This window comes from Homo sapiens, chromosome 1 (assembly GCF_000001405.40).
Source record: "Homo sapiens chromosome 1, GRCh38.p14 Primary Assembly".
Taxonomy (NCBI): domain Eukaryota; kingdom Metazoa; phylum Chordata; class Mammalia; order Primates; family Hominidae; genus Homo; species Homo sapiens.
In genome coordinates this window covers 151335235-151356450 of record NC_000001.11, presented here as the reverse complement: position 1 = coordinate 151356450, position 21216 = coordinate 151335235, and the positions used below count along the sequence as shown (strand labels likewise).

General features: G+C 46.1%; 1 protein-coding gene and 1 long non-coding RNA gene across 14 annotated transcripts, besides 6 other annotated features; one reads left to right on the top strand and one right to left on the bottom strand.

Annotated features, from left to right (window-relative positions):
* Positions 5051–5251: a silencer, noted in NCBI's record as "peak412 fragment used in MPRA reporter construct". NCBI's record gives its function as "represses an SCP1 promoter by STARR-seq MPRAs in K562 erythroleukemia cells {active_cell/tissue: K562}" and the evidence as "EXISTENCE:reporter gene assay evidence [ECO:0000049][PMID:32103011]".
* RFX5-AS1 (RFX5 antisense RNA 1) lies at positions 8560–9441 on the bottom strand. Its single transcript, NR_131972.1, has 2 exons — positions 9263–9441; positions 8560–8819 (listed from the first exon to the last, which is right to left on the bottom strand). It is a non-coding gene; the product is annotated as an RFX5 antisense RNA 1 (long non-coding RNA).
* Positions 8738–9937: an enhancer, noted in NCBI's record as "MED14-independent group 3 enhancer chr1:151318990-151320189 (GRCh37/hg19 assembly coordinates)". NCBI's record gives its function as "activates an origin of replication core promoter dependent on BRD2, BRD4, P300/CBP and CDK7 cofactors, and independent of MED14, by STARR-seq in HCT116 cells {active_cell/tissue: HCT116}" and the evidence as "EXISTENCE:reporter gene assay evidence [ECO:0000049][PMID:35650434]".
* Positions 8785–9134: an enhancer, noted in NCBI's record as "active region_1719". NCBI's record gives its function as "activates an Ori minimal core promoter by ATAC-STARR-seq in GM12878 lymphoblastoid cells {active_cell/tissue: GM12878}" and the evidence as "EXISTENCE:reporter gene assay evidence [ECO:0000049][PMID:35858748]".
* Positions 9101–9683: an enhancer, noted in NCBI's record as "H3K27ac hESC enhancer chr1:151319244-151319826 (GRCh37/hg19 assembly coordinates)". NCBI's record gives its function as "activates a minimal SCP1, AML or CMV promoter by ChIP-STARR-seq in naive H9 embryonic stem cells {active_cell/tissue: H9 hESC(naive)}" and the evidence as "EXISTENCE:reporter gene assay evidence [ECO:0000049][PMID:30033119]".
* Positions 9199–15811, top strand: RFX5 (regulatory factor X5). Of its 13 annotated transcripts, none has more exons than NM_001025603.2 (11): positions 9199–9240; positions 9845–9962; positions 10118–10246; positions 10490–10523; positions 11263–11345; positions 11604–11723; positions 11915–12034; positions 12173–12254; positions 12569–12770; positions 13009–13109; positions 13273–15811. In NM_001025603.2, exons 3-11 carry the CDS (start codon positions 10131–10133, stop codon positions 14263–14265), a joined length of 1851 nt encoding a protein of 616 aa, NP_001020774.1. In that variant the 5' UTR covers positions 9199–9240; positions 9845–9962; positions 10118–10130; the 3' UTR covers positions 14266–15811. The 13 variants fall into 13 exon arrangements, with proteins under 13 accessions (NP_001020774.1, NP_000440.1, NP_001366342.1 ...); NM_000449.4 differs by having other exon boundaries at positions 9845–9969; NM_001379413.1 differs by having other exon boundaries at positions 9845–10029.
* Positions 10277–10366: an enhancer, noted in NCBI's record as "active region_1718". NCBI's record gives its function as "activates an Ori minimal core promoter by ATAC-STARR-seq in GM12878 lymphoblastoid cells {active_cell/tissue: GM12878}" and the evidence as "EXISTENCE:reporter gene assay evidence [ECO:0000049][PMID:35858748]".
* Positions 13032–13532: an enhancer, noted in NCBI's record as "H3K4me1 hESC enhancer chr1:151315395-151315895 (GRCh37/hg19 assembly coordinates)". NCBI's record gives its function as "activates a minimal SCP1, AML or CMV promoter by ChIP-STARR-seq in naive H9 embryonic stem cells {active_cell/tissue: H9 hESC(naive)}" and the evidence as "EXISTENCE:reporter gene assay evidence [ECO:0000049][PMID:30033119]".

Here is a 21216-nt window from a genome sequence, read left to right as displayed (position 1 = left end):
GGAAGCAGAGGTTGCAGTGAGCCGAGATTGCATCACTGCACTCCAGCCTGAGCAACAGAGCGAGACTCTATCTCAGAAAACAAAACAAAACAAAACCTCTATTTAAGTGGCCCTGTGTTTGCAATGACATGGAAGTGAATACGGCAGGATACTTATCAGAACATGTTACCTCAGAGGGGTGAGATTTTTTATGAAACTTGACAAGCTCTTTCTAAAACTAGCCTGGAAATGCGAATGTATACTGTTCCAGTTACCTAGTGCTGTGTAACAAACTACCCCAAAACTTAGTGGCTTAAAGCAATGACAACATTACTTTTGCCCACAGATCTGTAGTTTGGACAGGGCTCAGCAGGAACAGCTTGTCTCTGCTTGGTGTCAGTGGAGGCAGCTTAAAGGCTAGAGGCTAGAATCATCTGATAGCTCACTTACTCACATGTCTGGAGACTCATGCTGCTGTCACTTGGACCTTCAGCTGGGGCCAGAACATCTACACATGACCTTTCCATATGGCTGCTTGGCTCCCTCACAACATGGTAGCTGGGTTCCAAGAGCGAGTGTTCCAAGAGAGAGCAGCAAATGTGAAGGTGTGTCACCTACTCCAGCCGACACTTGACAGTCACACAGCATCACTTCCACCACATTCCAATTACTGAGCCTGTCACAAAGGCCTTCCCAGGTTCAAGGAAACAGGGGACTAGACTCCATTTCTTTCATTTATTTATTTATCTATGTATCTATCTGTTTATTTATTTATTTATTTTTGAGACGGAGTCTCACTCTGTCACCCAGGCTGGAGTGCAATGGCATGATCTCAGCTCACTGCGACCTCTGCCTCCTGGGTTCAGGCAATTCTTCCGCCTCAGCCTCCCACATAGCTGGGATTACAGGCACCCGCCACCACATCCAGCTAATTTTTTGTATTTTTAGTAGAGACAGAGTTTCACCAGGTTGGCCAGGCTGGTCTCAAACTCCTGACCTCAGGTGGTACACCTGCCTCAGCCTCCCAAAGTGCTGGGATTACAGGTGTGAGCCACCATGCCCGGCCGACTCCACCTCTTGACAGGGAAGTTGTAAGGTTCTGAAACAGTGTGTGGAACCAGAAACATTGTGGCCACATTTGGAAAATACAATCTTCCATATATAGGAATAATTTTTTTAGTTAATAAAACCAATAACAGAAGACTCTCAGCATTAGATTTCAAAATATACTATACTTTGAAATATAGTATTTCAAAACATTAACTAAAACAGTGTGTTATGGGTGGAGAAATAGACAAAAAGAATCAACAAAAGAGACATGCGCCTATAATCTCAGCTACTCAGGTCACCAAGGTGGGAGGATCACTTGAGCCAAGGAGTTTGAGGCTGCAGTGAGCTAGGATCCTGCCACCGCACTCCAGCCTGGGTAACAGAGTGAGACTCTGTCTTAAAAAAATAAAATTAAATTAAAATTTTTTTAAAAAGAGAGGCTAAGATCCAGAAATACACCTAACTATACAAGGAAACTTAGTATACAATAAAAGCATATGATAAAACTGTAAAAGGAAACAGTTAAAAGAAGAAGAAAATGATAGTATATATTGAAATGGCTGGCCATTCATTGGAAAACAAGCATATTAAATTAGATGCTATGTAAGGTGTTACTAACTGCCAAACAACCATTCCCAAACTCTTTTCCCTTGCTCACTATAGGTAACTTCTATCCTTAATTTTATGGTCATGATTCTATTGCTTTTTATTAATTATTTTTACCACCTATGTATTTACCCATAAACAATATATTGTTCAGTTTTGCCTGATATTAAATATTTATAAATTGCATTGCACTGTATGTTTTCTTCTGGGTTTTGGTTTTTTCACTTTCTGAAGTTCATCCAGTGGATGTGTGTGGCTGTAGCTCATTAATTTCCACTGCTCTATGACATTCCATCCAGTGAATATATCACAACTTATCATTCTAGGGTTGACGGATATTGGGTCATTTCCAGTTTTTGCTAATGCAAGCAGTGAGACTATAAACTTTACTGCCTGTGTTTTTAGGGCATATGTCTAAGAGCAGGATTACTGAGATATTAAATGTAAATTGAAATACTCACATATTCGACTTCACCAGGTAATATCAAACTATTTTCCAAAACAGTTTTACCAAATTACACTCCCGCAACAGTGAATGAAAGCGCTTGTTGATTCATAACCATGTCAACCCTCAATATTGCCAGACTTTAAAACTTTTGCTGTGGCTCACACCTGTAATCCCAACACTTTGGGGGGCCAAAGTGGGCAGATCGCTGGAGCTCAGGAGTTCAAGACCAGCCTGGGCAACAAGGTGACACTCTGTCTACACAAAAAATACAAAAAAATTAGCTGGGTGTGGTACCGTGCCTGTGATCCCAGCTACTCGGGAGGCTGAGGTGGGAGGACTGCTTGAGCCCAGGAGGTCAAGGCTGCAGTGAGCCATGATCACGCCACTGCACTCCAGCCTGGGTGACAGAGCAAGAACCTGTCTCAAATAAAAAAAAAAGCCAATTTAGTGGGTGTGAAATGGTATCTTCTAAAATTTGCATTTTCCTGATTATTACATAGGGAATAACTTTTCATATGTTTATGAGCCATTTCTGCTTTTTTTGTGAAATTCCCATCCATTTTTCTAGTTTGTTATCTTTTTTTTCTTTTTCTTTTCTTTTTTTTTTTTTTTTTTGAGGCAGAGTCTCACTCTGATGCCCAGGCTGGAGTGCAGTGGTGCGATCTCAGCTCACTGCAACCTCTGCCTCCCAGGTTCAAGCGATTCTCCTACCTAAGCCTCCCAAGTAGCTGGGACCACAGGTGTGCACCACTATGCGCAGCTAATGCTAATTTTTGTATTTTAAGTGGAGATAGAGTTTCACCATGTTGGCCAGGCTGGTCTCAAACTCCTGGCCTCAAGTGATCTGCCCATCTCAGCCACCCAAAGTGCTAGGATTACAGACGTGAGCCACCATGCCCAGCTGGTTATCTTTTTTTGTAGGAAGTCTTCAAAAATTCCAGATAATAATCCTTTGTCAGTTATATGTCTTGAAAATATATTCTCCCAATTTGCAGCTTGTCTTTGTATTCTTTTTTATTATTGTATTGTATTGTATTTATTTATTTATTTATTTTTACCTATTTTTTTGAGACAGGGTCTCACTCTGTTGCCCAGGTTGGAGTGCAGTGGCGCCATCTAGGTTTACTGCAACCTCCGCCTCCCAGGTTCAAGTGTTTCTTCCGCCTCAGCCTCCCAAGTAGCTGGCATTACAGGCACACGCCACCACAGCCCAGCTAATTTTTATAATTTTAGTAGAGATGGGGTTTCACCATATTGACCAGGCTGGTCTTGAACTCCTGACTTCAAGTGATCCACTCATCTCAGCCTCCCAAAGTGCTGGGATTACAGGCATGCGCCACTGTGCCCAGCTGTTCATTTGTTTCTTTCTTTATTTATTTTTGAGACAGAGTCTCACTGACACCCAGGCTGGAGTGCAGTGGTAAAAAAAAAAAAAAAAAAAAAAAAAAGCTCCAGATACAGTGGCTTACGCCTGTAATCCCAATATTTTGGGAGGCCAAGATGGGCAGATCACTTGAGGTCAGGAGTTCAAGACCAGCCTGGCCTACATGGTGAAATCCCATCTCTACCAAAAATATAAAAAATTAGCCGTGTGTGGTGACACGTGCCTGTAATCCCAGCTACTCGGAAGGCTGAGGCAGGAGTATTGCTTGAACTCGGGAGGTGGAGGTTGCAGTGAGCCGAGCTTGTGCTGCTGCACTCCAGCCTGCGTGAGAAAGCAAGACACTGTCTTAAAAAATAAAAAAAAAATTCACTCCCAATCTTAGTAGGCAATGTATAATAGTGTCCAAGAGCAAATTCTGAATGAAATGAGAGAGGAGAAAGAAGAAACCAGTCAGGCAGGCAGTTAAGGTGGGTCCTTGGTAAAACTCCTTCAAACAAAGAACAGCCTGAAAATTAAACTGCAGGCCCCAGATAAGTGACAGCCCGCATCCTGGAATGGAAATACCTACTCTAGGAACCCAGATGAACAAATACCACTCCCTTTTTGGACATATTTCACTCTCTTTGGCACACCTTAGTCTCTTAGTTTTCATCTATTTTACATATGCTTACCTTTCTGTGATTGGCCACAGCGGGAGTCTTCATTTACATAGGGTGAATCATCACTTCAGCCCCTGATTGGTTCCAGGCCAAGGTCCTGGCCCAAGCTTTCACTTCAGCCCCTGACTTGGTTCCAGGCCAAGTTGTTGAGCCAAGCCTTCACTTCTGCCTCCAACTGGTTCTTTACACTATCATACCTCTTTCTGAGTGGTGCTTTCTGCAAGATAGCCTGCAGGCCCGATCAGCACACTCCTCCCTTTCCCAGTCCATAAGCCACCCTCCTCACCCTCCCACTCAGCCTCATAGCTGGCAATCCTCTTTCAGGCCCCCTCTTTGCTGAGAGCTTTTCTGTTGCTTAATAAATCTGACTCTGGCTGGTCAGGAGTTTGAGACCAGCCTGGCCAACATGGTGAAACCCCGTCTGTACTAAAAATACAAAAAATTAGCCAGGTTCGGTGGCTCACACCTGTAATCCCAGCACTTTGAGAGGCCAAGACGGGCAGATCATGAGGTCAAGAGATTGAGACCGTCCTGGACAACATGGTGAAACACCATCTCTACTAAAAATACAAAAATTAGCTGGGCATGGTGGCAGGCGCCTGTAATCTCAGCTACCTGGGAGGCTGAGGCAGGAGAATTGTTTGTACCCAGGAGGTGGAGGTTGCAGTGAGCCAAGATTGTGCCACTGCACTCCAGCTTGGTAACAGAGTGAAACTCCATCGCCCCCCCGCCAAAAAAAAAACAAAAAGCAAAATATTGGCTGGGTGTGGTAGCAGGCACCTACAGTTCTAGCTACTTGGGAGGCTGAGGCAAGAGAATCGCTTGAACCCGGGAGGCGGAGGTTGCAGTGAGCCAAGATCATGCCACTGCACTCCAGTTCAGGTGACAGAGTGAGACTCCCCCATCTCAAAAAAAATAATAAAATAAATAAGTAAATAAATAAATAAATCTGACTGCCTTACTCACTCTCCAGTGTCTACACACCTTATTCTTCTTGGTCGTGGGACAAGAATACAGAGTCCACCAGCAGTTGAAGTGAAAATGCTGGAACACTCCCTCCCACTCTCCAAACAGCAAGAGTGAAAAAGCTGCAACAGGCCAGGCATGGTGGCTCACGCCTATAATCCCAGCACTTTTGGAAGCCAAGGTGGGTGGATCATTTGAGGTCAGGAGCTCAAGACTAGCTTGGCCAAAATGGTGAGACCCCATTTCTACTAAAAATACAAAAATTAGCCAGGTGTGGTGGCACACGCCTGTAATCCCAGCTACTCAGGAGGCTGAGGTAGGAAAATCACTTGAACCTGGGAGGCAGAGGTTGCAGTGAGCCAAGTGCAGTGGAGCCACTGCACTACAGCCTGGATGACAGAGTGAGACTCTGTCTAAAAAGGAAAAAAAAAAAAAGCTGCAACGCAAAGAGCCTAGGTGCAGATCCTGGCTCCATAGCTTACTAAATTATGATGTAATCTTGGGCAAATTATTAACCTTTCAATGCCTGTCTCCTCACCTGTAAAATGGGGATAATCATAGTATCTATCTGAGGCCGCACGCGGTAGCTCACGCCTGTAATCCCAGCACTTTGGGAGGCTGAGGCGGGCGGATCACGAGGTCAGGAGATAGAGACCATCCTGGCTAACATGGTGAAACCCCGTTTCTATTAAAAATACAAAAAAATTAGCCCGGTGTGGTGGCAGGCGCCTGTAGTCCCAGCTACTTGTGAGGCTGAGGCAGGAGAATCACTTGAACCTGGGAGGCAGAGCTTGCAGTGAGCCGAGATTGCGCCACTGCTCTCCAGCCTGGGTGACAGAGCAAGAATCCGTCTCGAAAAAAAAAAGAACGGGCCCCAACACATATTAGGCTCTGTATAAATACTTGCTGTTATATGATGCTTATCCGGACAATTTTTATTGTTACTGCCCAAGGCAAGGACCATACCTTATTCAGCTTTGTATCCCTAGCTCTTAACACAATGCCTGGCATAAATTAATAGTTTCCTCTTTCCTATCTCTAGCCTTTTCTTTCACTCAACTCTACCTTCTATAGTGCTGTCAAAATCATCTCTTTTACTAGGTACTATGTACTATGATACTTTCTCCCCCCTTACTAAAGCTTCCAGTTTTTCCCTGTTATCTGCAAATTTTTAAGCTAGATAACTTACCCAAAACTCTGTTTGCAACCAAAGTGCTCTAGGTTCTCCTTCATACCAAACAGTGGTGTTAGGGCTATCTTTCCATCAGTCTATATCCATATTTGGCTTGCTATTTATTTATTTATTTATTTAGAGATGGAGTTTCGCTCTTGTTGCCCAGGCTGGAGTGCAATGGCATGATCTCGGCTCACCCAACCTCCGCCTCCCAGGTTCAAGCAATTCTCCTGCCTCAGCCTGCCAAGTAGCTGGGATTACAGGCATGCACCACCACGACTGGCTAATTTTGTTTTGTTTTTTGTTTTGTTTTTTGTTTTTTGTTTTTAGTAGAGACGGGGTTTCTCCATGTTGGTCAGGCTGGTCTCAAACTGACCTCAGGTGATCTGCCCACCTCAGCCTCCCAAAGTGCTGGGATTATAGGCATGAGCCACCACACCAGCCGGCTTTTTTTTTGTTTTTTGTTTGTTTGTTTGTTTTGAGACAGGGTCTTACTCTGTCACCCAGGCTGCACGACAGAGTGGTGCAATCATAGCTCACTGCAGCCTCGAACTCATGGGTAATAGTGATCCTCCTGCTTCAGCCTCCCAAGTTGCTGGAACCACAGGCATGTACCACCACACCTGGCTGTGTGTGGTGTGTGTGTGTGTGTGTGTGTGTGTGTGTGTGTGTGTGTGTGTGTGTGTTTAGAGAGAGACAGAGTCTCACTTTGTTGCCCAGGCTGGTCTCAAACTCCTGGCCCCAAGCAATCCTCTTGCCTTTGCCTCCCAAAGTATTGAGATTATAGGCATGAGCCATCATGTCCAGCCCGTTATACCCATATTTATTTATGAGTATCTGCAAATATGTATACATGCAGTCTAAGGCAGTGCTCAAAACAATCAGCTTTGAGGCAGACTGCCTGCCTTTGGATCCTGATTCTAGCACTTTCTACATATATGACTAAGGACAAGTCCCTTCACCTCTCCACATTGGTTTCCTCATCTGTAAAATGGAGACAGTAACAGTACCTACTTCAGAGAGTTGCTGTGAGCATTACACGAGGTGTTTAGCATTTGGTATGGTGTCTGATACCTAATAAACACCAAATAAATTTTTGTTTGTTTTTGTTTGAGACGGAGTTTCGCTCTTGTTGCCAGGCTGTAGTGTAATGGCACAATCCTCCGCCTCCCCAGTTCAAGTGATTCTCCTGCCTCAGCCTCCCGAGTAGCTGGGATTACAGGCATGCGCCACCACGCCCGGCTAATCTTGTATTTTTAGTAGAGACGGGGTTTCTTCATGTTGGTCAAGCTGGTCTCGAACTCCCAACCTTAGGTGATCCGCCCACCTCAGCCTCCCAAAGTTTTGGGATTACAGGCGTGAGCCACCGCGCCTGGCCTAATAAACACCAAATAAATTTTAGCTGTTATTAGAAAACCTGGCCAGGTGCAGTGGCTCACACCTGTAATCCCAGCACTTTGGGAGGCCAAGGCAGGTGGATCACCTGAAGTCAGGAGTTTGAGACCAGCCTGACCAACATGGTGAAACTCCGTCTCTACTAAAAACACAAAAATTATCTGGGCGTGGTGATGCACGTCTGTAAACCCAGTTACTCGGGAGGGTGAGGCAGGAGAATCGCTTGAACCCAGGAGGCGGAGGTTGCAGTGAGCCAAGATCGTGCCATTGCACTCCAGCCTGGGCAACAGAGCGAGACTCCGTCTCAAAGAAAAAAAAAAAAGAAAGAAAGAAAGAAAAAAGAAAACCTCTTGCCAATATATCCTTATTGCCCCAACTCCACAATCTCCTGGGTTCCCCCAGCACTCATAGAAGCTGATAATAGGGAAAGGTAGGCTGTAAAGGGCAATGGTGATGAGCTCAGGCAGCACTACTGTCTTCTTTACAAAAGCACATTAATGATGAGCCTGGAGAACATATTAGATGTCAGGATGGCAAATACAGTTTTGGTTGTAACATGACCGCTGCGCAAAACAAAATACATCCATGTAAGAGGCTTTCAACCTGGAGTCCATGACCTCTCTGAAATTAGATGCAAAACTTGGTCTCTGTGTGCATTTTTCATGGTAGAGGGTCCATTGCTTTTGTCTGATTCATAACCTTAAAATGTCTTAAGTAAGAGGGTTAAGAACCCATGACCTATTCAGTACAATGTTCCCTGAGTGTAAAAAGTTCCTGTGGCATCCAGCACCCCCGTGGGAGTCCATCAAAATTCCAGGGTTCACCGACTGCAGAACTATGGGGATGCAAATGCATTTGCAACTCTTTGGAAGTAAAGTACACACGGGAAACCAAGAAATACTAAGAGGGAAAAAGCATTTTAGTTTAATGGGTACAACTGCTGAGGTTTTGAGGCCTCCATCAAGAAGGAAAAGAGAGCCCAGATTGCAGGTCTGTTGCGAGTAAGTGTGTCTGCAGGTTGTATTAGGCATGTGGTGATGGTGATGGGGGGTTATAGGAGCTTACAGTGAACTTCCATCACTCCTACCCATCATTGTCTAGTTATTTTATCATCCATTGATTCTTCTCTTCCGGCAGCTCTGAGGACCGTAGACTAAACTGAAACACAAAAGGGGAGGGCAAAAGAAAAGACAGTTCCAAAGGGAGCCGAGCGCCCGTTCTTTCATCCTGCGGTCCCTTTAAGAGAAGAACCTCTTGGGACCTGCAGTCCCAACCGACCCCAGTTTTAACCGAAACCCAACCCGGACTTCCCCCTCTTGACTCAAATAAGACCAACTTTGGATTTTCCCTCCCCTATTGACCAATCAGATTCTGTTACCAGGCAGACTTCAGCGGCCGCCGGTACGAGCCCGGCGCCTTCTGTCTCCGGGTGGCAGCAGTGACCAATGACAGAGCAGGCCGCCCGTGTATCTAGGCAGATCGCGGCTGTTACAACCATTCAGAAAAAGGAAAATAAAGCAACGCACGAGCCGGCTGGGCCAGGACCTTGGGGCTGGGCTGGAGTGAAGGTGGCTACGAGGTAGTTTCTCTTTCTCCCTTACCTTTATTGTTGCTTGTGTTGGAAGGCGACTGTTCAGAGGTAGGGAGGGGCAAGATGAGTTGGGAGGAGAGCAGAAAAAGATTGTAGCTGTATTTTCAACAGCTTCTTCACCCATGTGCACGTGCCCGGAATCTGGGACCCCATTCCCCTGCCGGGTTTCTGACGCCCAGCGCATGAGTTCCGCTACCCCGCCCCACCCCCGCTCCACTTTGCAGAAACCGGGGATTGAATGGAGGGGGAAGGGAAGGAGGTGGGGGCGCGCCTCAGGATGGGCTGTTGTGGGAGATGACGTAGGGGCCGGCGACGTGGGGAGGGGGAGCAGCGGGGGAAGTCGTGGCGAGATTAAGTAATGAGAACTTGGGCCCAGTTTTTTTTCCAAGCCTAGAAGGGCAGAATATGTTCGTATCCTTTCTGACCTCCCAGGCATATGCAATGGTGAGGAGTATTTTTGAGAATTAGAGAACTTTGTTTTGTGGCTGTTATTGTTGTTTTTGAGGGGGAGGAGGGCAGTATGGGGTCAGAGGCAGAAATGAAAATTTCTTGCTAACATGGATTCCCAATCCCCCTATCTCTTCCTTTACAGTTTTCCAGATTTAGGAGACTTCAGAAAGGTGGGGCAGATAGAATGGAGATGGCAAAGATCTCTTTGGGCATATATGGGCCTGGCGAAGTAATGGAATAATTTCTAATTTTCGGAGAAGGCAAGTGGTGAGAAAAAGACCACCGGGGAAATTCGGAGGCTTTGTTTCTGTTTCTCTGCCTTTCTGGGTAAAGAGATGAGGAGTGCCCTGGGGCCTTCTGGGGAAGGGAAGGCCAGTGTGAGTTACATCTTTATGCCTGTCCCTCTCAATTCTAGCCCTCATGCCGGGATGGCAGAAGATGAGCCTGATGCTAAGAGCCCCAAGACTGGGGGAAGGGCCCCCCCAGGTGGTGCTGAGGCTGGGGAACCTACCACCCTTCTTCAGAGGCTCCGAGGTACCATTTCGTAAGTACTCATCACATCTCCAAGTCCTGTCCAAGACCTGAGTATAGATCCCTGCAGCACTTCACTTTGGCTGTAGATGAACTGCCTCTCAGCAAGGGCATGGGAGCAGAGGGAGATTTTTGGCCATGGTAGCAATTCTTGAGCACCTGCTGGGCATTTCAGTCCTTTTCCCTCCCTAGCAGTCAGATAAAGAGACAGGGAAAATCTTGTGTGTGACCTCCAGCTTTCTCCTCTTCCCCACAGCAAGGCCGTGCAGAACAAAGTAGAGGGGATCCTGGTAAGTGTGTTGGGGAAGAGGGCAAGAGAGGGATGGAAATGCTGAGGGAGGAGGATGTGAGGATGATGGGCATCAACAAAACATTGATGTGGGAGAGGTAGGGTCCTCTGCCTTGTCAGAAGATAGTTGGCTTTGCAAACTTGCTGCCAGTTTGACTTTGTGCCTCTCACTTGATCTCTGTGAGCACTTGCATAGAAGCCCAGCAGAGATGAAGTCAGAGCTGATCCCCTCTACTTCCCTCCTCTCCATGGTAGCCTATAGGGCTCCTCAGAGCACCTAGCATCAAATAATTTCTTTCTTTTTTTTTTTTTTTTTTGAGATGGAGTCTCACTCTGTCGCCTAGGCTGGAGTGCAGTGGCGCAATCTCGGCTCACTGCAAGCTCCGCCTCCCAGGTTCACGCCATTCTCCTGCCTCAGCCTCCCAAGTAGCTGGGACTACAGGCGCCCGTCACCACACCCAGCTAATTTTTTTTTGTATTTTTAGTAGAAACGGGGTTTCACCATGTTAGCCAGGATGGTCTCGATCTCCTGACCTTGTGATCAGCCTGCCTTGGCCTTCCAAAGTGCTGGGATTGTAGGCGTGAGCCACCGTGCCCGGCCTTGTCAAATAATTTCTAAGGTCCTTTTTCAGTCTGACACCCTGTAAGTCAGCTAGACTTTGGTGTGGGGATCAGAGGGTCCTATATTGGGTCCTTCTTGGCCTTATTATTTCTCCTGCCTCTGTTCTCTCCTACCTCAGCAAGATGTACAGAAATTTTCTGACAATGACAAGCTGTATCTCTACCTTCAGCTCCCCTCAGGACCCACCACTGGAGACAAAAGGTAGGTTTGATAGTAGTTTTAGATGGCAGAGGTTCTGATTCTTAGAGAAAGGTTCACTGGGAAGGGGTGAGGTGAATAGGAATACTCGTAAATGCTGTCCTTGATGAAGAGGAAAGGTCCTCGCCCTGACTTGGTTTACCAGGGAAAGTTAGATTCTGGGTGAACTAAATTTGGTCCAGCACTACTGAAGTGGTAGTTTGGGAAGAACCAGGACAACTGTTAGGGTCTTAGTAATGCTTGTTCCTTTTGTTTCTGTAGCTCAGAGCCAAGTACACTGAGCAATGAGGAGTACATGTATGCCTATAGGTGGATCCGCAACCACCTGGAAGAGCACACTGACACCTGTCTGCCAAAGCAAAGTGTTTATGATGCCTATCGGTGGGTGGAGGGGTGGGTGGTGGGATGAGTGGATTGGTGGGCATAGGACCCCCTCACCCATGAAGAGCTTCCTGCCTTGATAAAGCCTGCCTTCTTAAAGGGTTCCTCACACTTGATCCCTAGGGACTCTTCGAGCCTACCCATGGCCTCCTTCTCTGAGTATCTTCCCACTCTGCTCCCCTCTCACTCAGGAAGTACTGTGAGAGTCTTGCCTGTTGCCGCCCACTCAGCACAGCCAACTTTGGCAAGATCATCAGAGAGATCTTCCCTGACATCAAAGCTCGAAGGCTTGGTGGCCGGGGCCAGTCCAAGTATCCTTGACTAGAGAGGTTGGGGGTGGAGGACCTGGGAGGAAGACTTAGGATGTGGAGAGCAAGGAGTGGAACAGCTTAACTTGCTCGAGGGGCTTGGAGATCGCCATGTGTTGGCTGCTCTTTAACTTGCATCAGATATTGCTACAGTGGCATAAGGAGGAAGACCTTGGTGTCTATGCCACCCCTGCCTGGACTTGACCTAAAGGGTTCTGAGAGTGTAAGTACCAAATCACCTTCCAATTCCACTCTTCTCTCCCAGGTAAAAGTCAGAGGTCTTTGGGGCATGTTTTGAGGGCTAACAGCCTCAGTCATTATGTACATAGCTTCTAGGTATGATGTTCCCTTCTGCCAACCCTGTAGCTGAGGCAGAGGATGAAGAGAACTTGTGGGCTTCTGCAATGGGATAGGTAGAGGCTACTCCCATCCCCAGTCTGGTCTCAGCTTTGGTCAATAGTCTTTGATCTCTGACAAGAGAGGAGGCAAGGGTTCTTTAATTTGGAGTGTGATTGGGCATGTCCTTCCCCACTTCAGCCAGAAATGGGCCCAGAAGTAACCCCAGCACCTCGAGATGAACTGGTGGAGGCAGCGTGTGCCCTGACCTGTGACTGGGCAGAGCGGATCCTGAAACGGTCCTTCAGTTCCATCGTTGAGGTCGCCCGCTTCCTGCTACAGCAGCATCTCATCTCTGCCCGATCTGCACATGCCCATGTGCTTAAGGCCATGGGGCTCGCTGGTGTGTTGACCCTCTCTTATGTCTCAGCAACCCTGAGCCACTTTCAGCTTCAGTGGCCCTCCCACACACTAGAATAGAGACACCTTGGATTTGCCCCCTCTTCCTGGAGACCCTTCTAAGACATGCTTTAGCACCCCATTTCCTGTCTCTACCAGTCAGTCAATCAGAATTGCCTCACTCCCCTATTCCTCAGTTTCCTCCTCACCTTCACTCTATTACCTTTTTGGTACCTCTGCAGAAGAGGACGAACATGCACCTCGGGAACGGTCATCTAAACCAAAGAATGGTTTAGAGAACCCAGAGGGTGGAGCCCACAAGAAGCCAGAGAGACTGGCCCAGGTAAGGAAGTCAGTGGCCCTGACTTTGCTGTCCTGGGCTGGGGGCTTAGTATATCCTTCTCCAATTGGGTCCCTTGCTTTTCCACCTCCTGTGCCTCTGGCGTCTATGTTTCCCCCAATACTCATTCTTCACACCTTACTGTGTTCCTCTCTTTACTTTTTAGCCTCCTAAGGATCTGGAAGCCCGAACTGGGGCCGGTCCTCTCGCACGTGGAGAGCGGAAGAAGAGTGTAGTTGAGAGCTCGGCCCCAGGAGCCAATAACCTGCAGGTTAATGCCCTAGTGGCTCGGCTGCCTCTGCTCCTTCCCCGGGCCCCTCGCTCACTAATTCCGCCAATCCCAGTCTCTCCACCTATTCTGGCCCCCAGGCTTTCTTCAGGTGCCCTGAAAGTGGCTACACTGCCTCTGTCTAGTAGGGCCGGGGCACCCCCAGCAGCTGTGCCCATCATTAACATGATCTTACCAACTGTTCCTGCTTTGCCTGGACCTGGACCTGGGCCTGGGCGAGCTCCACCTGGGGGACTCACTCAGCCCCGGGGCACAGAGAACAGAGAGGTAGGCATAGGTGGTGACCAAGGACCACATGACAAGGGTGTCAAGAGGACAGCTGAAGTACCTGTGAGTGAGGCCAGTGGGCAGGCTCCACCAGCTAAAGCAGCAAAGCAGGATATAGAGGATACAGCAAGTGATGCCAAAAGGAAACGGGGGCGCCCTCGAAAAAAGTCAGGTGGAAGTGGGGAAAGGAATTCTACCCCTCTCAAGTCAGCAGCTGCCATGGAATCTGCCCAGTCCTCAAGGTTACCATGGGAGACATGGGGCTCAGGAGGGGAAGGCAACTCAGCTGGAGGGGCAGAGAGGCCAGGGCCAATGGGAGAGGCTGAAAAGGGGGCAGTACTTGCCCAGGGTCAGGGAGATGGTACTGTTTCCAAAGGAGGAAGGGGCCCCGGTTCCCAGCATACCAAAGAAGCAGAAGATAAAATTCCCTTGGTCCCCTCAAAAGTGAGTGTCATCAAGGGCAGCAGAAGCCAAAAGGAGGCTTTTCCTTTGGCAAAGGGAGAGGTAGACACTGCACCACAGGGTAATAAAGACTTAAAGGAGCATGTGCTTCAAAGTTCCTTATCCCAGGAGCATAAAGACCCAAAAGCAACACCCCCATGATACAGGTCTGTGGGGAAGAGTGTTTATATCCCTACGTTAACTTTGCCTAGTAGAGGCCCTTCTTTGCACTTGCTTCTCATTTGGCTATTCTTTTCCTAAGGAAGTCCATTCTCCTCTGTACAGACAGCTGAGTCACCCAGTCTACTTAGTACCTGGTTGCTGCCTCTGACCTTTTCAGCTTGATACCCTGGGCTTTAGTGTAACCAATAAATCTGTAGTGACCTTACCTGTATTCCCTGTGCTATCCTGTGGGAAGGTAGGAATGGGCTAAGTATGATGAATATATAGGTTAGGGATCTTTTGGTTTTAAATCACAGAAAACCTAATTCAAACTGGCTTAAAATAAAAAGGATTTATTGGTTCATGTAACTAGAAAGTCCATAGGTAGTGCTGGCTCCAGGTGAAGACTTGACCCAGTAGTTCAGTATGTCTCTAAATACCGGACTGACTTTTTTCTCACTGTTGCATCTTCTGTAGGACCATTTAAGTCTGGGCCACTTAATGGCTGCCAGCATTCCTAAGATTACACTTTTCCCCATTTATGTCCAATCAGAAAAAGAAGGCATCTTTGTACCAGAAATCTCAGCAAAAGCCCTAATATTCACACTGATTAGGCCTGGGTCACATGTCCACCCTGACCAATCACTGTGGCCAGGAGGATGATACATGCTAATTTGCTTATTCTATATCATGGACAACACCTTTGGGGAAAAGGGTGGGGGTCAGCCTCCCCAAAATCACATGGATTCCCCAAGTGGAAACTAGGAGCAGGGAGTTGCTTGGGTGGCCGCTAACACCAGGCTACTCTTATTTTAGCTTGCTAAGTTGAGATCAGCTAGACCTGCTTTCTTTTCTCCTCAGTCTTGCATTTCCCTCAATACAAGCTGTAGCCTCTTTCCTCGTTTCTAGTCTCAGAAGGAAGGAGAGGGAAGCCATTCTCCTCTAGGGACTCTTCAGTCTCATTTAGATGATAGTCCCTTTTTTTCTACCTCCATATTAGAGATGGAGCTCCTTCCTTTTCCTGTTTCTTAATTTTTGTCTTCTCATTCCTGCTTCCCTCTCACCCTATTGCCAGTTCCACCAACTAGAGTGAAAGACTTCCTAGCCATTTCATTAAATCTATTCTGTATCCACCAGGTGGCAGCATCTTGTCATACGTGTCAGGACTTAGGACTGCGGGGTTTAGGTTAGATGTCACGGAAAAAGCTAGTTCTGTGGTCAGGCGGCACCAATGAGAAAGGAATGCAGACCCTCCAGATGTATCCTTGGGAAAAGCAGTAAACCAACTAATATTTATTGAAGACCTACTTTGTCCTCTACATAGGGTAGCTTCTGTCAGGGAATCTTGGTTCTTCCCAAGAAACACTGATTTTCTTTCAGGGAGACTTCATGTGTTCATTTATTTCCACCACAGCAGATTTTAAGAAATTATAATATGTAATATTTGATATCTATAAAGAGTATATCTAACGTGAATAAATTATGAAGCATACTAATGAGTACCTATGACCCATAACACATATACATTAAAACATTTTAAATACCATTGTGTTTGTGTTCCTCCCTAGCCTGTCCCCCGCCTCTTCTTAGCGGTAACCACTGTCCTTAATTTTCGTGTCTATTATCTGCTATAGATATTTTTTAACCATATATGTATATATAATTTTAAAAATGTGTTTAATTTTGCTTGTTTTTTAGCTTTACAGAAAATGTTATACTTTTTTTTTTTTTTTTTGAGACACAGTCTCACTCTATTGTGAAGGCTGTAGTGCAGTGGTGTGATCTCAGCTCACTGCAACCTCCACTTCCTGGGCTCAAGCAATCCTCCCACCTCACCCTCCCTAGTAGCTGGGACTACAGGTGCCTGCCACCATGCCTGAAGTTTTGTATTTTTAGTAGAGATGGGGTTTCACCATGTTGCCCAGGCTGGTCTTGAACTCCTGGGCTCAAGCCATCTGCCCACCTTGGGCTCCCAAAGCGCTGGGATTACAGGCATGAGCCACCTGTGCCCAGCTATGTTATACTCTAATAGTCCCCTGCAGTTTGCTTTTTCTCACTTACCATTGTTTCTAAGATTCATCCATGCTGTTGTAGATAGCTATGATTCATTCATTTTCATCTGCATAATATTTTATCAAGTTCATAAACCACAAGTTATTTATCCATTCACCTATCAATGGATCTTTGGATATTTTCAGTATTTTGCTATTTCAAACTGCTGCTATGAACATTCTTGTACATGTTAGTGCCTTTGTTTTCAGTAAGATTTCTAAAGAGGCTTCTACCATGGTCCTTTGGTTTATATAACCTCTAAGTTGGGAACTGTTCCCTCTTGTCTTATTCTCTGGAAGAGTTTATATCAGATTGAAACAAACTGTTCCTTGAAAGTTTGGTAAAACTCACCTGTAAAGCTATCTGAGATTGATGTTTCTTTGTGGGAATAATTTTAACTATTGATTCCATTTCTTTAATAATTATAGACTGGGCTTTCTATTCTTCTTGAGTCAGCTTAGGTAAAGTATTATTCTAGGGTTTTGTGCATTTCATGTATTTTTTTTAACACAAAATGCATATATTTCTTCTAGTTTCTTTTTTTTTTTTTTTCTTTGAGACAGAGTCTCGCTCTGTCTCCCAGGCTGGAGTGCAGTGGCGTGATCTCGGCTCACTGCAAGCTCTGCCTCCTGGGTTTTACGCCATTCTCCTGCCTCAGCCTCCCGAGTAGCTGGGACTACAGGCATGCACCACGTACACCTGGCTAATTTTTTTTTGTATTTTTAGTAGAGATGGGGTTTCACCGTGTCAGCCAGGATGGTCTCGAACTCCTGACCTTGTGATCCGCCCGCCTCAGCCTTCCAAAGTGCTGGGATTACAGGCGTGAGCCACCGTGCCCGGCTCTTCTTTTTTTTTTTTTTTTTTTTTTGAGACAGAGTCCCGCTCTGTCGCCCAGGCTGGAGGGCAGTGGCGCAGTCTTGGCTCACTGTAACCTCTGCCTTCCGGGTTCAAGCGATTCTCCTGCCTCAGCCTCCGGAGTAGCTGGGATTACAGGTGTGTGCTACCACGGCCAGCTAATTCTTGTATTTTCAGTAGAGAGGTGGTTTCACCATGTTGGTCAGGCTGGTCTCAAACTCCTGATCTCAAGTGATCAGCCTGCCTTTGCCTCTCAAAGTGCTTGGATTACAGGCGTGAGCCACTGCTCCTGGCCTTGTTTCTTTTTTATCTCTGCTCTGTGGATAGGCATATCTTCCTTTTCATTTCTGTTGTTTACTTGTGCCTCCTTTTTTGGTCTTGATCAGTTGCACCAGCAATTTATTTTACCTATATATCTTCAGATGCTACTTTGAGCTTTGTTGATCCTCTCCCTTATGTATTTGTTTTCCATTTCATTAATTATGGATCTTATCTATAGCTATCTTTTTTATGCTTTCTTTAGGTTTAATTTTATGTTCCTTTACAACATATTCATTTTGACACTTAGCCAATTAATTTTCAGGCTATCTTCTTCACTATTTTAAGTTTTTAATAACCTGTTTCTCTACATCCCACAAGTTTTTCTGTGCTGTATTTTTATTACTTAGTTCTAAAAATATTTAAATTACCTTTATGACTTTTTGACTCATGAACTATTTAGAAACATTTTATAAACTTCCAAATATCTGGAGATTTAAAATTGTATTTTTTTTTTGAGACAGAGTCTCACTCTGTCGCCTGGGCTGAAGTGCAGTGGCGTGATCTTGGCTCACTGCAAGCCTACCTCCCGGGTTCAGGCCATTCTCCTGCCTCAGCCTCCGGAGCAGCTGGGACTACAGGTGCCCGCCACCACACCCAGCTAATTTTTTGTGTTTTTTAGTAGAGACAGGGTTTCACCGTGTTAGCCAGGGTAGTCTCGATCTCCTGACCTTGTGATCCGCCCGCCTCAGCCTCCCAAAGTGCTGGGATTACAGGCATGAGCCACCGCACCTGGCCCAAATTGTATCTTTTTGATACTGATTTTTAGCTTAATCATTTGTGTTCAGAGAATGTAGTGTCTATGACACCAATTCTTTGAAATGTGTTGGGATTGTTATTTTATATTCTGTAACATCTTGGATGTCTAAATCCATTTTGTTGTTTTCTGCTGAGTCCTGTCCATGGTAGCTTGTTTACTTGTATACTTTATATTTTGGGTTTTTTTGTTTTTTGTTTTGAGATGGCGTCTTGCTCTGTCACCCATGTTGGAGCGCAGTGGTGCAGTCTCAGCCCACTGCAACCTCTGCCTCCTGGGTTCGAGAGATTCTCTTGCCTCAGCCTCCCAAGTAGCTGGGATTACAGGTGCATGTCACCACACCCGGCTAATATTTTGTATTTTTTAGTAGAGATGGAGTTTCACAATATTGGCCAGGCTGGTCTCGAACTTCTGGCCTCAAGCTATCCACCCGCCATGGCCTCCCAAAGTGTTGGGATTACAGGTGTGAGCCAGCGTGCCTTGCCTATTTTATATTTGGGGTTTTGAACTCATTTTTGTTAAATTTAATCTGTGGGAATTCCGAGGACCTAAATTAGGAATACTTCCCTCCAGAGAGGATTTGCATTTGCATAAACCTGGGACTATGTTAGCCCCTTCAAGAGTCCAGGTTTAATTCAGGAGTTGCAGGTTTTTCTTCTCTTCCCTTGGCCTAGGCCCAAGGCTTAGACTATGATCACAATGCTGACACTGGGATTTGTCCTCAGGGTAAACCTGCTTCTACTACTCCATGTTGCTCTTCCTTTATATAGGTTTCAACTTTCTTTTTTAAATTTGTATTTTGTTTTGTTTTGAGATGGAGTCTCGCTCTGTTGCCCAGGCTGGAGTGCAGTGGCGCAATCCCGGCTCACTGCAACCTCCATTTCCCAGGTTCATGCCATTCTCCTGCCTCAGCCTCCCGAGTAGCTTGGACTACAGGCACCCGCCACCACACCCGGCTAATTTTTTTTATTTTTAGTAGAGACGGGGTTTCACCGTGTTAGCCAGGATGGTCTCGATCTCCTGACCTCGTGATCCGCGTGCCTCAGCCTCCCAAAGTGCTGGAATTACAGGCGTGAGCCACCGTGCCCGGCCTGTACTTTTTTTTTTTTTTTAGTGATTTCTCTTTCTAATGAACTCAGCAATGTGCTAAAAAGTATGTTTGCTGTAATTTATCTAGGATCTAGTTGTATTTTAATGGGATAGCACTTTCTCTTATCCATGCTGCCAGAAGTAGGAATCCTTTACTGTGGTTTTGATATTTTCCCTCTTGTTTTTTAAATGTCAGGCATTTGTTAGAAGCTGGTTTACTCAGACCCCAACTTTAAACATTCTAGCTGGGGAGACAGACAAATAAATGATCACAGCATGGTGTGAGTTATATAAGTAGTGAGCACAGAGTGCTGTGGGAGCCCAGAGAGAGATCGTGTGTGTTAGGCAAGAATCAGAGATGACTTCCCTGTAGATGTGAGTAGGAGTTAGCTGCACAAGTCAAACTAATAAAGCAAGGACAAAACAACATAAGACATATCATAAAACAAAAAGACCTAAGTCGTGATACTTTACCGCATAAGAGCTGTAAATTCAGAGACATCAGTTTGGGCTGAGTAATTTGTGAAAGCTTCATGGAAAAGGCAAGTTTGAGTTAGGCCTTTAAGATAAGTAAGAGCTTGGATAGGCAAAAAAGAGGAGGACATTACAGGAAAAACGGGTGTGGGGATGTGGCATGGCAGTACAACCCAGAGATCCGTCAGGCAGACGTGATGTGTATGAACAATAGTGAGAAATAAACTAGAAGAAGGCTGGGCGTGGTGGTTCATCCCTGTAATCCCAGTACTTTAGGAGGCCAAGGCAAGAGAATCACTTGAACCCAGGAGTTAAAGCAGCATAGTGAGACCCTGTCTCTACAAAAAAGCTTTTTTAAATTAGGCGTTGTGGTACGTGCCTATAGTCCCAGGTACTCAGGGGGCTGAGGTGGGAGGATCACTTGTGCCTGGGAGTTCAAGACTGCAGAGAGGCCGGGCGTGGTGGCTCATGCCTCTAATCCCAGCACTTTGGGAGGCCGAGGCAGGCAGATCACTTGAGGTCAGGAGTTCGAGAGCAGCCTGACCAACATGGTGAAACCTAAAAATATAAAAATTAGCCGTGTGTGGTGCCAGGCACCTGTAATCCCAGCTACTTAGGAGGCTGAAGGAGGAGAATAGCTTGAACCCAGGAGGCGGAGGTTGCATTGAGCCCAGATGGCACCACTGTACTCCAGCCTGGGCTACAGAGCGAGACTCCGTCTAAAAAAAAAAGAAAAATGCCGGGCACGGTTTCACGCCTGTAATCCCAGCACTTTGGGAGGCCAAGGCAGGCAGATCACCTGAGGTCAGGAGTTCAAGACCAGCCTGACCAACATGGTGAAACCCCATCTCTACTAAAAACACACAAAAAATTAGTCTGGCTTGGTGGGGGGGCACCTGTAATCACAGCTACTCAGGAGGCTGAGGCAGGAGAATCACTTGAATGGGGGAGGCGGAGGTTGCAGTAAGCTGAGATTGCACCATTGCACTCCAGCCTGGGCAAAAAGACTGCAGTGAGCCCAGATGGTGCCACTACACTACAGCCTAGGTGACACAGCAAGACCCTGTCTCAATAATTAAGTAAAATAAACTAAGAATAAACAACCATTATAGTTATCTGTTGGTTGAATAAATGAATGAATGAAAGGCATGAAGTTTGCATTAAAGGATGGAGAAACTGGAGTTAAAGGACTGAGCCAGGCAGTTGTTGCCATTATCCATGTGGAAGGAAATGAAGGACTGGACCAGGATGCAGACAGATGAGAGGTAACAGGCATATGGTAAAATAAACCACTGGTGATAGAATAGATAAGACTCATCCAAATAAATATTGCCCTCACCATGACTGAGATTGAGGATGAATCCATTCACTTTAGAATACCACAGCACTGAATGATTTTGAGATTT